General features: G+C 36.5%; 1 long non-coding RNA gene across 1 annotated transcript in view, besides 2 other annotated features; it reads left to right on the forward strand.

The window, feature by feature from the left end:
* LRIG3-DT (LRIG3 divergent transcript) overlaps positions 1–14,771 on the forward strand; it is a 210,172-nt gene that overhangs the window by 2,717 nt on the left and 192,684 nt on the right. The gene's annotated exons all lie outside the window — the stretch shown is intronic.
* Positions 1,624–2,248: an enhancer, noted in NCBI's record as "NANOG hESC enhancer chr12:59318825-59319449 (GRCh37/hg19 assembly coordinates)". NCBI's record gives its function as "activates a minimal SCP1, AML or CMV promoter by ChIP-STARR-seq in primed H9 embryonic stem cells {active_cell/tissue: H9 hESC(primed)}" and the evidence as "EXISTENCE:reporter gene assay evidence [ECO:0000049][PMID:30033119]".
* Positions 10,113–10,613: an enhancer, noted in NCBI's record as "H3K4me1 hESC enhancer chr12:59327314-59327814 (GRCh37/hg19 assembly coordinates)". NCBI's record gives its function as "activates a minimal SCP1, AML or CMV promoter by ChIP-STARR-seq in primed H9 embryonic stem cells {active_cell/tissue: H9 hESC(primed)}" and the evidence as "EXISTENCE:reporter gene assay evidence [ECO:0000049][PMID:30033119]".

Below are 14,771 nucleotides of genomic sequence, written 5' to 3' on the forward strand. Positions count from 1 at the left end.
GATAACCATGTATTCCTTATCGCCTTTAAGGGTTTTACCAGCTATTGTGAAGTTAAATTACCTAAGTTTTCAGTACCCCAGTTTCTCAGTCTGTAAATTGGGAATACAATAAAAAACGATCTTATCTGGCTGGCTTCCATTTATCAGTTACTGGATTAGCAGTCACTCTGTTCTCTCTGTACAACCTGACTGATGCCTATGACCAGCTGAAATCTAGAAACTACCAGCCTCTCCTTAGAACAGCCTTTGCATATTTGCTCCTACCTGTCAGGTGCTGATCCACAGTAGTTACAGACTTGTTTATATATATTATTAATGTTACACAATATTGTGTAAACCAAATACAAGTGCAACAAGAAAATACCTTTATTTCTATGATAATGAATTTGAAGGTTGGGAAAGATTCTTTAAAGGTAATCGATAAAACAATGCTATCCAATTAGATGAAGATAAGACAGTTGTAAATATGGGAGGAGGAGATTACAAATATCTAGGAGATTTTTTTGGAAAGGTTACTTTGCAAGTAAGATCTTGTTCCACTTTAATTGTATTTGGGAATTAATCAACAGAGGACGTTTTATGGGTGTGGCTTAAGCTTACTCAGAACTTAATGGGATCATTGAGAGAGTAAAAGAGGATGACATGGAAAGAATACAGCGCACATTAAAAATCACTGTTCTACATTTCGATATGTGCTTAACCATGTGGTCAATACAAAGGGGAACTAGTCCTACATGAAAACTTAATTTTTTTATTTTTATTTTTTTGAGACAGGGTCTCACTCTGTCACCTAGGCTGAAATGCAGTGGCGGGATATTGGCTCACTGCAGCCTCAACTTCCTGGGCTCAGGCGATCCTCCCACTTCAGCCTCCTGAATAGCTGGGACCACAGGCGCATGCCACCATACCAGTCTAATTTTTGTATTTTTAATATATGTATATATAGATATATATATATATAGAGAGAGAGAGATGGCGTTTAACCATGTTGTCCAGTCTGGTCTCGAACTCCTGGGCTCAAGAAATCCATCTACTCGTTTCGGCATCCCAAAGTGCTGGAATTACAGGCATGAGCCACCTGCCTGGCTGAAACTTTACATCAATGTAATATTTTCACAGGCTTCTCAAACCTTTCATGAACCACAGGGCAGAGAGAACTTCCACTGGGTATCCATCTGGGCAGATGAGAACTAATATCTTTTGAGGTCCCTTACAGCTCTGTTCTGATTCCTTTACAGTATATAGAAAATAGGCGTGAAGGCAGAGTGACAGCAAAGATAGTTGTAATAGAGGAAGAAGAGGTACATAAAATTCTGTTTAATCTCCCAAAATGTATCAGGGAATAACAGTGACCTAGAAACAGGATTAATGTATCACTGAATTCTCTGATACTCTTATGATGTCATTTTCTTGTATACACACACACACACACACACACACACACACACAGAGGACACAGTGCTATCAAATGTTGAATCTCAGTTTTTGTGGATAATGGCTTACAAATAAGAATTTAGTATGAGAAAGTCAAATTCATTTTGACCAGAGGTCTTTTAACATTTGAAATAAAATGAGATAAGATGTTGGATTTCTCTACTCCTTCAGAGGTTTACACTGGTTAACCAGGTAGTTGGAAGTTAGCTTTCCATTGGAAATTGCTGAGATCACACCAGACAGTTTCTCGTTTCCAGCTGTGTCCCAGTGAATGGCAAGTTTCATCCATTTTCAAAAGGGTCTCCTACCACCCATTTTGTGGTGAGCATAACCCAATCCCAGTGCTCTTTTTAGTTTTCCTGGTCTTTTTTCTTTCTCTGGCAAGTGTGAGACTTTCTTATCTTGAGTGCTGGCAAGGCCAGTGACTCACCGATAAAAAGTAATAGAGGTGCTAAACTGTCAGTTTTAACATCCAAGGACAAGAATGAAAGCTAAACACTCAGTACTTGCTTTATCATTACAATGAATGACACAGTTTGTGTAAGTGGGAGCTGTGAAAAGGGAAAAGAGATAAGGCAAAGGAGGAAGAAAAGCACAAAAATCCCCAGATAATGATGCCAAAAGCAAATGTTGCTGTACTTTGTAACTTAACCATATCTTTTCCCATTCATTAAGGCATTTTAGAAGAAATAGATAACCTTCCTTTCTCTCTCTCTCTCTCACACACACATACAAACACACAAAATGCACAGCTTCACTTAGAGAGCAGATTACTTTACACAACCCCTGCTATGAACATGTCTTAACTTTCAGAAAATATTTAGAAAAATAAAGATAGCCACCCATCTGTTTTTCTCAAGTTGGCCAACTGTGTGATATTATTTGAATTGAAAACAAACAGTGTTATCTCAACTGCAAATTAATATATGCTATTTTGTATTTTACTCATTTCCCATGTCACCGTCTGGGAATAATGTGAGCTCTGAGGAAAACTCATACTGTAGACAACACTGGATATCCTGGAAATCATTTTGGAGCTGCTGGGAGTCTGGAGATGGGGTAGGGAATGGGAAAAGGGGGAGGGCGCCTTCAGCTTCCACCAGACCCTCCTTAAGGCAGAGTGTCCTTCCCAGCAGTAGAGCCTTTGAGTGGTCTCCAGTTTTCCCATTCCTTTGAGAACCTCAGAACACTTTCTCTTCTTTTTCCAATCCTTGCTTCTTCTTCTTCTCTTTTTTTTTTCTGTAGCCAGCTGCAATCCTAAAACTCCACTGAGAATCTCAACTCATGTCAAATAGCCTACCCTGTCAGGAATACAGAAATCTAAATGCTTGAAAAATTGTCAGAGAAGAAGCGGGGTGGTCAGAAGGTGAAATGCTGTAACTTTGGATTTCCTCACACTTCTATGCTCCATTTTTCTCACCTGTAAAATCCAGTGAAAAATGATACCTTGCTGTACCGTAGTACAATATTTTGTAACTATAACGTCCCATATAGATTCTAGTTCCTATTACTTCCAAATTGCTGTTTTCATTATTCAGGGAGACAAAGTGAGTGCGCTACGGAAACATCCCACTGCTGAGATTAATTTCCAATGGAATGTTGGGATTAAGTAAACCTTCAACTATTAATATAAAATAGAATGAGGAAAATAATATTTAATTTTAAAATGAAAACAAAACTTAAACCACTTTTAACCTTAATACAAGGCTCTAAATCTGTCTGTTATGACAGCATACTGTACATATTCTGAGATTTTTTTTTTTAGTAGGAATTTTATTATGCCATCTCAAGAAGTTACTGCATAACTCAATTTGTTATGATTTATGCCATGAGTTCAGAAAGAATCATTAGGCATATTTACTAAAAAGACTTATATATCCCTCCTGGGAACTTTTTGCAGAATGTTTTTCTCCCACTTCTTGGATGAACAGTTGGCCTATGCACTATTCTAAGAATTAATTTGCATTTCAGAACCATGAGAGCACTTATACATGAGTTATTTATTGCTTTTATTTATAGTTTCATCCTCTTACACATATTACATTTACCCAGGCCTGACTATCAAATTATTAAGGTGACTTTGTCATAAACATTGTCAGAATCAAGTTCCCTGCACTGAAAGCTCTGCTTCTGTCCCTAAATATAAGGATTGCTATCGAGTTACAATATGATTCCACATATGTATTTTCAAATAGACAGTGAGGGATAATTTTGGTGGAATGGGGTCAGTTTCAGCAAGATGCTGTGCACCTGTCACAGTACGGACAGTACGGATACTTCCTTGATAACATCTTAAAATTTAGCCCAAAGCTTTCCACACTTCTGCTATGTGTATACATCCATGCAGAAAGATTTCCGCTGAAATACTGACGTGGAGCATGAAGATGCTCTGCAAGAACACCTCACTCATCTGCTTGCCCCAGGCACAACTGTGACTACAGCAGGAAACCTCTTCTGCTCCCACAGCAGTTATTTCAGACTTGAAAAACTTTTTTTTCAGTCAGAACATTCATCTTTACAGCCCACATAAATAAACTTCTGCTCTCTTGTCATTTGAATATGTTTGATCTATTTTTATCCTGGGCAAAATCGAAGCTGTCACCAGCAATATTCCTTAGCTATCTCTTTGCAAATTAAATAATTACAATTCTTTTTTTTTCTTTTTTTGAGATGGAGTCTCGCTCTGTCACCCAGACTGGAGTGCGGTGGCATGATCTCTGCTCACTGCAACCTCCGCCTCCCAGGTTCAAGTGATTCTCCTGCCTCAACCTCCTGAGTAGCAGGGATTACAGACACGCACCACCATGGCCAGCTAATTTTTTGTATTTTTAGTAGAGACGGGGTTTCACCATGATGGCCAAGCTGGTTTTGAACTCCTGACCTCAAGTGATCTGCTCGCCTTGGCCTCCCAAAGTGCTAGGATTACAGGCATAAGACACGGCACCCGGCCTAATAGTTACAATTATTTTAAACACTTTTGCATGAACACTACTGTTCTTCTATCTCACACTCTTATGTGTATCAGGGATGTCTTTCTGCTTATGTGCCTTATAGAAATGAATATGGAGACATTGAGGTATGAGGCCCTTTCAGCTATACAAATGATATTTGACATTTATCAAGCTCTTATTACTCTTACTATTCTCTAGATATTTGATATTATTAACTAATTTATTTTTTATAATCACCTTCTAAGTTATTATCCCCACATTACCAGATAAGGAAACAGAGGGATGGAGATGCTAAGGAATTTACCTGTGATGGAGTTGGGATACAAACTCAGTCAACCTGACCTCACAGTGTACCCCTTGACCACTATGCTACCCTGCTTTCCACTAGAGTCAGAAGAAGCAAGGATTTTCACTGTCTTCCTTAGTGCTAAAAAGGAGTTTCCAGTAGATTGAAAACAATAAGGAAAGTATGGACCTTGCCTGGTTTTTTGAAGGTGGTCAGTTGCAATCACTCCCCCTCCTTTTTTTCCTCCTTTCCTCATTGATCCAAAAAAGATTCATTTTATGCAGATGTATGAATCAATCACTTTAGGGTCCGATTTGTGAAGGTTGATGTCCTGCCCAGATATCAGAGTAGTGCTCCGAATCTAACCATTAGAGATGAACTATGGGGTTCAGACATTACTGTCTTTCTGAAGTCCTCTTTGGCAATATCAATATACCCTCACCTCCAGGAGTGTTACATAAGGTATCATTGACATTTTATGGTCAGTGTTCTATAAAACTAAGTTTGGCTCACAGGAGAACCTAGGTGGTTGGTAATCAGAAGAGGAAAAGGATGCAGAAAGGGAAACAGGCTTTTCTTTCTTCACAGTTTTGTCTAGGGCTGCACCTAATTAGGGGAACCATGAATGGGGTGCATGTGGTCCCACAAGTCCAGGGAAATGAAATATTAATGCTAGAGATTGTTTTTACTGTTGAGATACTTCACATGTGGTAACAGAATTTTTCTTTTTGTTTATGGGCAAATGCTAATTTTTATGCTTTTCTAACTTCTGAACAGTATAAGGAAAAAATTTTAAACAAAAGTGTCCCAAATTGGCTGAGTTTAAATTCTAGTTTCCCATTCAGCTTTTTATGTTTTGAGGCTGAGCTTCAAGTCCACTGCCAAAGGAACATCTCAGAGGCTTCCGTTCTTTAGGAGACTACCTGAGTCATCTCAGTGAGGCTTGAGTTAGAATCTTCCCTCAAATTCAGACACAACACAAATTCTAAAAGTCATTATATTCATTTAAGTTATATTCATTGTCTTAATTTATACTTAAGCCATTCAGTAACATGATAAATACTTTCTGCTATGAGTAACACAATACACCTACTAGAATTCTGATAAAATCTATATTTTCTGATAAGAGAAAGTACTAGAGACATATACTCCTTGTGTTAAAAGCTGTGAATTCATTTTTGAATTTTTATTATCATCCAATATTGAGAGCTCTAATTATGATTTTATCAGTCTATGCACAAAAGTAATTCATATAAAAGTGTATCGAATTTTTCAGATATATAAAAAATATGTTCTTAAAAGTAAAGCTTATTTGGGCAGTTAGTCCTAGAATATTAAATTATTTAATGTAATGGTAATATTTTTTAAAGCCAAGGCATCTTAACAGTAGGAATTTGGATAAAACATTTATTTCACCTAATGAAAATACAATATGAGGAAGTTAACGGAAACATGAATAATTAATTGCATTAAATGTCGGTAGGTCTGTTCGAAAAGGATTCTATAGCATTAACAGTTGATGGACATTTTCTTGAAGTTTGTGATTATTCATTTAAATTGATAAGCTTGTGAAGTAAACAAGAAAATATACTATGTTTTTACCATAACTTTTGATCTTTTTCTATAGTGTTCATGACAAATGTCTCAAGGTGAGGATAGTATTCTCCATCATGTTAATAATTATACTTGAGTTCTGGTGATCTAAGACAAGAATGGTGGAAACAAAATTATGCATAATTTGAACATACTGATAGCAGCCACTAAAGCTCTTTCTAAAAGTTTTGCCCTAGGCAAGTTTTTAAAAATCATCTTTTATAAAATCACTCAAATGTAGTATTCTTGCCTCCATTAAAAATAGCTTCAATATCCTAAGGCAATCCATATTTGGTAACTATAGTTACATCTTTAAGTTGCATTTTATATGTGACTAGATCTGAGATTAAGAGCTGTCAGCTTCTTATAACTCTGATATTTAAAGGAAAAAAGTTTAGGTCAGAGAATCTTTAAAATATCTTTCATCTTTTATCCTCCTTAATTATGAAACTTTATCCTGAATATGATTCCTCTGTCTGCAGTTTAGAAGGCACAACACACTAAGATAAAATTGAACAATTTATAGATGATAGTGGTTCTCCGAGGATGATCAGTGTAAATCTAGCATCAGACATGGAGGAGGATTATTAAACACAAAAACTATTCAAGCCAGGTATGGTGGCTCATGCCCGTAATCCCAGCACTTTGCATTGCCGAGGTGGGAGGATCACTTGAGGCTAGGAATTCGAGGTTATGATGAGCCATGATCATGGCACTGCACTCCAGCCTGGGTGACAGTGACCCTGTCTCTAAAATAATAATAATAATAATAATAATAATAATAATAATAATAATAAAAAACCAGAAAGACTATTTGGCTCTTTCCCAACTTACTGAATTAGATATTCTACAGATGGGTTCTGGGGATCTGCAGTTTAACACACCCTCCAAAATTTGAGAATCTGCAAGTTGCTACTCTGGAATTGTGAGGAACAAGTTCTATTACCATGTAGCTCTTCTTATGCTTTCTTTCCATGGGTGATGAAATGCTAAACGTGCATAAACTCTTCTCTTTTTCCATCTTATTCCATCAAAGAATATAGATGAATCTTAAGGAATACAGAAAAAGACACTCTGATTCTATCTTGAGTAATCATCATAGCCTGGACAAGTTTGGAAATTTGGAGAAAGGCGGAGGGATATTTACTGGACAAGAATACCTTCTGTGATGTGAAGGAATAGATACTTATATGGTAAATAACCATGAAGAATCTGCTGCTGTACAAACTAATTTGTACAGTCAGCCAGCACAGAAATATCAGATATCCACATAGCAGCAGGCCACATCATTCACTTGTCTATTTATGCAACTGACAAAAGGAGAATCATTTAACTGAAAGTTATGAAAAATCTAGAGATAAGGAAATTCCTATGTATATTTTTATTGTAACACTTGTTAGGGGTGTGTGTGTGTGTGTTTATGTGTGTGTGTGTGTTGGTTGGTTTATTTCCAGTGATGTGAATTCCTTGCATCTTGAGTCCAGGGCCTGTCTTAATGATCTGAATACCCATCTCAGCTAGTAGTATCACTTTTTATCCACTCACCCAAATTCTTACGGATCTTCCTCACTCCTCTCTTTCTCTCACAGTTTCCAACCCACCTCCCACCTCAGCAAGCTCTGTCAGCTCTACTTTCAAAATACATACTGATTCTGACCAGTGTCAACACCTCCACTCCCACCACCCTGTTTCAGCCATCATCGTCTTTCACCAGAATTAATGGGAAAGCCCCTTACCCCATCTCTGATACTAGTCTCAAATCCTGTAATCATTTCTTCACAAAGCAACCCATGTCTCCTGGTTAAGCATGGACCAGATTCCGCTGCTCTCCCACTCTGAATCTTCCCATGGTTTCTTTCACACTTGGAATAAAATCCAGAGGTTTGCCTGAGGTCTACCAGGCCCCACAGGATCCATTTGCTTTCTCAACCTTATCTCCCCCTGGAAATACCACACTTGCTCCCCTTCCTTTTATTTCTGGCACATACCAAGGCTATTATCATCTGAGGCCAGTTGCCCTTGCTGTTCATTCCACCTGGAACGCCAGAGCCTCATGCCTCATTGTCGCCTCCTTAAGGCCTCTTTTCAAATTTCGCTTTCCAACGAAACTTTCCTAACCACATCTTCAAAATAGCTTTCTTCCTCTCCCTGCCTCCAGGCAATCTCTAGTCCTTCTGGGACTTATTTTTCTTCTTTGTATTACCACTATCTGAAATTATATCTGTATTTTGTATTGTTTATGCCCTCCACCAGAATATAAGCCCCGCAGGGTAGGAACTTGGTCCTGTTTACCACTGAAACTCCATGCCCAGAGCAATGCCAGCCATGCTGTAGTAATCAACAAAACCTTATAGAATGTCTAATCCCCAGCGCTGACACATAACCAGAGCTTCACATATCTATGCTGAGGGTCTAAATGAATGAATATTAGAAGCTTTGTTTTTCTGGTTGCAAATATTCCCCTTGAGCAGAATGTACTCCGTACAGGTGGCCATTCTAGCCTAGTCCTGAATTCTATTTCCTTGACCATATTTCCCCATGGGAAGGTTTATTTTCTCTTGTTTGAATGAAGGAAGTCAAGGAGCAGTCTATTTCTTATTAATTAAAAAAAGATTTGGGATTTATTTCATCCTGTAAAGTAATCAGAAATTAATTTTGCCCAACAGAAGGATACAGGGTGACATTCAAGTTATCATTAAAGCAAGTCAATATGAGCGATAAAACAACAGAGAGTTAATAATGGGCAATTCTCTACTTGTTTCTATCTTACTCTTCTCCAGTGAGGACCTAAATATTCTAAAACAATCCAGTTGTGTCTCCTTGTAATTTCAGATTCCTCATGAGATTACCAGGGGACACTGACTTAGGTTTTAGACACAAGCTGTCTTACTGTCACATTTCTAAACAGAAAGTCTTTCTTTATGGAACAAAAATAGTAGAGCGTGTAGCTGGAAAGCTAAATGGAGAAGCTAAGACCAAGCAGCCCTTTGGTCTCATGGAACAGTGTCTTTCTATTAGTACCTTAAAAAGTATCTTCAAAATATCATCTGCTTTCATAGGAAGAGAAGTATACCCTCTCATAATATTATCCAAAATGTTTTGGAAACTGACATTAATGATGAATGCAAAATAAAATCATACAGTAGCTTTATGTTACAGTTTCTTCCCCATCTTAGAATCAGTTTGTGGAGAATTTCAGTTTGTAGACAACTGATTCCCACATGTGAATTATAGTTAAATTACACCAGTGATGTCACTGATGTGGAATAAAAAGTGCTGTGAATTTTAGTGATCGCTATTTCACTACAGCTGTGAGCAATGTGTTCCATAAAGACTGGTATAATTCTCCCAGGAGTCATGTTAAAAACTTCACTCTTGCAACTCGTAAGCAACTAATGCTTAAAAATGTATGCAAAAGACACTTACCCACAAGGTCAGTATTTTATGTATTTCCTAGCTAACAAGTTTTAAAAAGTTCTTGTATTATTATCTCCATTAAACATTAGGCTAAAGTCCAGCATATGCTATGTAAATAAGCAAGTCTGCAAATTAAAGTAAGAGAGTGATCAAATACAATAAAGGTGATTTTCTGGTTTGAAATAAAAGCATAAGCACGCGATGTCTTTCAGCTTTAAATATTGAAGAAAAATAGCCTGGGTCAAAGGTAGAACAAGATTTTTCGTAAAGAGCTTTAGGATTGCCTACTTTTATTTTGGTTGGATTAAAGCAAATCGTTTGCATTACTGTAACCTGGGTCAAAGCTGGCCTGCGGGGATGGCTGTGTGCCCAGCAGACCCACTCCACCAGGGAACTGCCATGGTGGCCCTATCCACAGGTGTCCCATGGAGCACAGTCCTCTCCTTGGGGGGTCTCAATGAGTCACCATGGAATTTTCATTGAAGAGAGAAAGTTTCCCAAAAGAAAAACAACAACCGGCAACTAAAAATAAGCAGCTGTATTTAGTGTGGAGAAAGTGAAATTATTTCTTATATCCAGAATCCTTTACCTTTTTGCCCAAATCTGATGTGGTATGACTCTTAACAGATTACAGTCTTTGTCTAAGACATCTGTCTGGGTCCTTCTTGGCCACATTTTGCAAAAGGAGTATTTATTCCAGTCATTGAAAAAAATAGAGACTCAGGCCCGGCGGGGTGGCTTACGCCTGTAATCCCAGCACTTTAGGAGGCCGAGGTGGGCGGATCACGAGGTCAGGAGATCGAGACCATCCTGGCTAACATGGTGAAACCCCATCTCTACTAAAAATACAAAAAAAATTAGCCAGGCTTGGTGGCAGGCGCCTGTAATCCCAGCAACTTGGGAGGCTGGGGCAGGAGAATGGCGTGAGCCCAGGAGGCAGAGCTTTCAGTGAGCCGAGATCGTGCCACTGCACTCCAGCCTGGGCGACAGAGCAAGACTCCGTCTCAAAAAAAAAAAAAAAAAAAAAAAAAAAGAGACTCTTGGGTTGAGATTATGTGGGGGAAGAAAAGGGTTATTTGGGACAACAGTTGATAAAAAGATTATCAAGAGTGAACGTGGATAATGTCTTTGCTATGTGTCCCTACTATTATGAGCACTGAGAATGCAGAAATTATTTCTAAGTTATTTATCACCATACTCCCTGAACCTAGCTAAGTGTCCAGGGCCTAGAACATTGTACATGCTCAAGAGGTGTGTGTGTGTGTGTGTGTGTGTGTATGTGTGTGTGTTGAAATGAATAAAGGGAGAAGGGAAAAACTTAAAGAGGGAAAATGACCATGATACTGAGTATCAGGTCTAGAAAGTGATATATGGCCATTTTCAGAAGAACATGTAGATCCCTGAGCCTGAAGAACTAGGCTGTTGAACAAAGGACAAATCAGTGTGGGTGTTAAGAACTAAGATGGTGAACTCTGCCAGGACATTGGGTGCCTTTCTAAAAAGTCCCAATAGTGTGGAAACAAAGCTGCCCGACAGCTTATGGAAACTGTTTATGACAGCCACAAATGCCCAATGGACATATTTGCTCCTGTGGCAAGGCCCACTCAGCAACACCTGACACACTGGCCAGTGCTCCCTTTCCTTGCAACACTCCCTCCTCCTGCTCTTCCCACTCGAGTGTACATGAATCTTGAGAGCACGTGGATCTGTCTCTAGGCCTGGAAGACATAGAAAGGTTTCCAAAGACACTTCATTTATAATCAGGAAGTCTCTCAGACATCAAGCTATTTTGGCTTAATTAAGAAAAAAGATCCTTGACAGCTACAAGTGGAAAGTTCTTGGGATGGGATAGCCTTTAATAGCCCCAAACTTGGCAACCTTCTAAGAAGAAATTCTGCCAGTTCTTAATTTTAAAACTAAGGCTATATTTATGCAACACTTAAACAACTGGTTAATTCAGTGAAACTATCGCCCCAATTTAATTTGACGACATGTAAATGAACAGACTTTTGATTAACTAATTCACCTTCCAACTACTTGTCAAGATCTTCCAAAAGTGGGCTGATTTCTATTTCACACAGCTGAGATTTATGATATCATTAAAGAGCTAAGATTCAGTGACTTTAAACTATGCTTGAATTATAACTTAAAGCAATGTCTTACCTTAATAATGGTAGGGATATGAAGATTTGCTTTCAAACTTAGTGCAGCATTTCTGGCTTTTAAGTTTTAGTGACATATTTATCAAGGGCAACTAGGTGCCGAGTGCTCAAACGCACCTGTAATCATGCTTTTATCTTATGTTCAGAAAACTATAGCAGCCTTATTTTTTTTCTACATTTTGTGACACTAATCTCTTTCCTCTAATCTGTTTTATACTACTAAGGAAATCTTAAATATTATTTCATAGTTTTCCTCCTCAGAAAACTTCAACATTATGTATGTATACATATCTCATTATACCCAATATAATTGAACCTATAAAAATAATAAAAATATGAATAGGTATACACCAGAGTGATGCATATGGAAGTGTTTTAAAGATTCTTGTTTATAATCTGTGTTTTATTATTTTCTGCAATGCGTCTTACCTATGTAAAAGAAGTTCATTTACTTTTTTTTTGAAGATTCAGTAACTCAATTTTCTTGATTTAAAAAAAAGAAAAAGGTGGAAAGCATATATGAGTGTAGAAATAATCAAAATATAATGGTAATCACTATTAATGTAAATAGACGAAACTTTCTCGTTAAAAACAGTTGTCAAATTGGATTTAAAAACAAATAAAATACAAAAATCAAGCTGCATTATGTTTACAGGATATACACTTAAAACTTCTGGATAAAGATTTAAAGCCAAAAGACAGACAAACTCTGTTTACCACTCATTGATAAACAAAAGAAAGTTAATGTAGTCATTTTATTATCAGAAAAAGTAAACTTTAAGAGGCATTCCTAGAGATAAAGAATTCAACCACTGCTAAGATATAATAGTGCTATTCTCATATGCACCTAATAATATAGTCTCTGGGTATAGCCAGAGATTTTATACTACATCTCTCAGTAACTGATAAATCAAGCAGAAAAAAATCAACAATTCCACAGAAGATTTGAACAGTACAATTAACAAATTTGATCTGTGTAATATTCAGAGAACATCATACTCCACAACTGGGGTGTAAATATTCTTTTCAAACACAGGAAAAACTTTATGAAAGTTGACTGCGTTCTAGGACATAAAGATATACTCAACAAATATTAAGCCATTGATAACCATATAGCTCACATTTCTTAAATACCACCCAAGGAAGTAAAAAATCAATCTAGGCATAATTCTAGGCAAAGTTGACTACGTTCTAGGGCATAAAAGATATACTCAACAAATATTAAGCCATTGATAACCATATAGCTCACATTTCTTAAATACCACCCAAGGAAGTAAAAAATCAATCTAGGCATAATTCTAGGAAGAAAAAAACAAATATCTGAAAACTTAAAAATACATTTTCAAATAACTGATAGGTTTAAAGAAAGAAATCATAATTGAAATGTTAAGTATTTAAAACTAAATAATAACAAAAATATATTACAAAACCTGTGGGTTGAAAGTAAAGTAAATTTTGGAATGAATTTCATAGCCTTAAATATTTTAATTATATAAGAATGCTCAGAATTAATGAGCCAGACTGTTTATCCTAGAAAACCAAGGTTAATTTGGTAGCAAATTAATTAATTTAATTTACTGCATTAATAGATTAAAGGAGAAGTGCTTAATTATATTAATAAATACAGAAAAAAGTTTGGTAAATTCAATATTTATTAATGATAGAAAGATCTTAGCAAGCTAGGAATAAAAGGGAATTTCCCAAATCTGAAAAAGGTCATATCCAGAAGTATATTATAAATGTCATACTTGGAGTGAAATATAGGAAACATTCTCTTTATAATCCAGAACAAGACAGATATGCTCATTATCATAATTTCTAACCAGTTTAAAAGAGTTTTGCAAATGTATTTGATAACAAAATCTATATACAAAATTCATTTGTAAATCCACATGCCTGTAACAATCAGGAAATGTAATTCAAATAAAACAAACCAAAAAACTTTTTTTAATAGCTCTTAAATCAACAATAACAATAATAACTACCATGAACAAGAAAAGAACTATTAAAATACACTAATGTCCTTTATTGAGAAAATTATAACATTTTATTGTAAGATATTAAGTAATACCTAAATAAGTAGAGACATATACAGGTTGAGCATCTCTAATTGAAAATCCAAAATCTGAAGTGCTTCAGAATCCTAAACACTTTGACCACTGACATAATGCCACAGGTGGAGAAATTTTACACCTGATGTCATGTGACAGGTCGCCGTCAAAATGTAGTCAAAACTTTGTTTCATGCACAAAATGATTCAAAATATTGTATAAAATTACTTCAATCTATGTGTATAAGGTGTATATAAAATGTACATAAATTTCGTGTTTAGACTTGGTTTTCATCCCAAGATGTCTCATTATATATATTCAAATACCTCAAAATTCAAAACATTCCAAATGCTTCTGGTTCCAAACATTCTGGATAAGAGATGCACAACCTATATACCATGTTCTCAGGCATTATAAGGAAGTGAATTCTCTCAACTTTGGTCTAAAAATTCAAATTAATTTCAACTGGTTTTTCATGGAATTGGACAAACTAATTCTACCGTTTGTATCGATGAACAGAGATGATCCATGTGCCACTTGACCAATCAGATATTGTGACAGTGGACAGTGTGTTGTCACAGTACAAAAAAAATAGAACATTAGGACCAAATAAAGAACCTAGACAGAGATTCTTTCCTATTTGGTATTTGGCTTTTGGAAGAAGAGACATTGCAAATCAGTGGGAAAAGAAAAAAACAATGTAATTAATGACGCTGGAAAAAATGATGACCCCTGAGGATGAAAAGTGAAATTGAAGCCCTATCTCATCTCACACTCAAAAATCAATCCCAGTTGGATTAAAGACCTAAATGTGAAATGCAATATTTAAGAAATGTACTTTAAAAAGACAATATACCTCAGTATATCCTGTTGTTGG

The sequence above is a fragment of the Homo sapiens genome, chromosome 12 (genome assembly GCF_000001405.40).
Source record: "Homo sapiens chromosome 12, GRCh38.p14 Primary Assembly".
Taxonomy (NCBI): domain Eukaryota; kingdom Metazoa; phylum Chordata; class Mammalia; order Primates; family Hominidae; genus Homo; species Homo sapiens.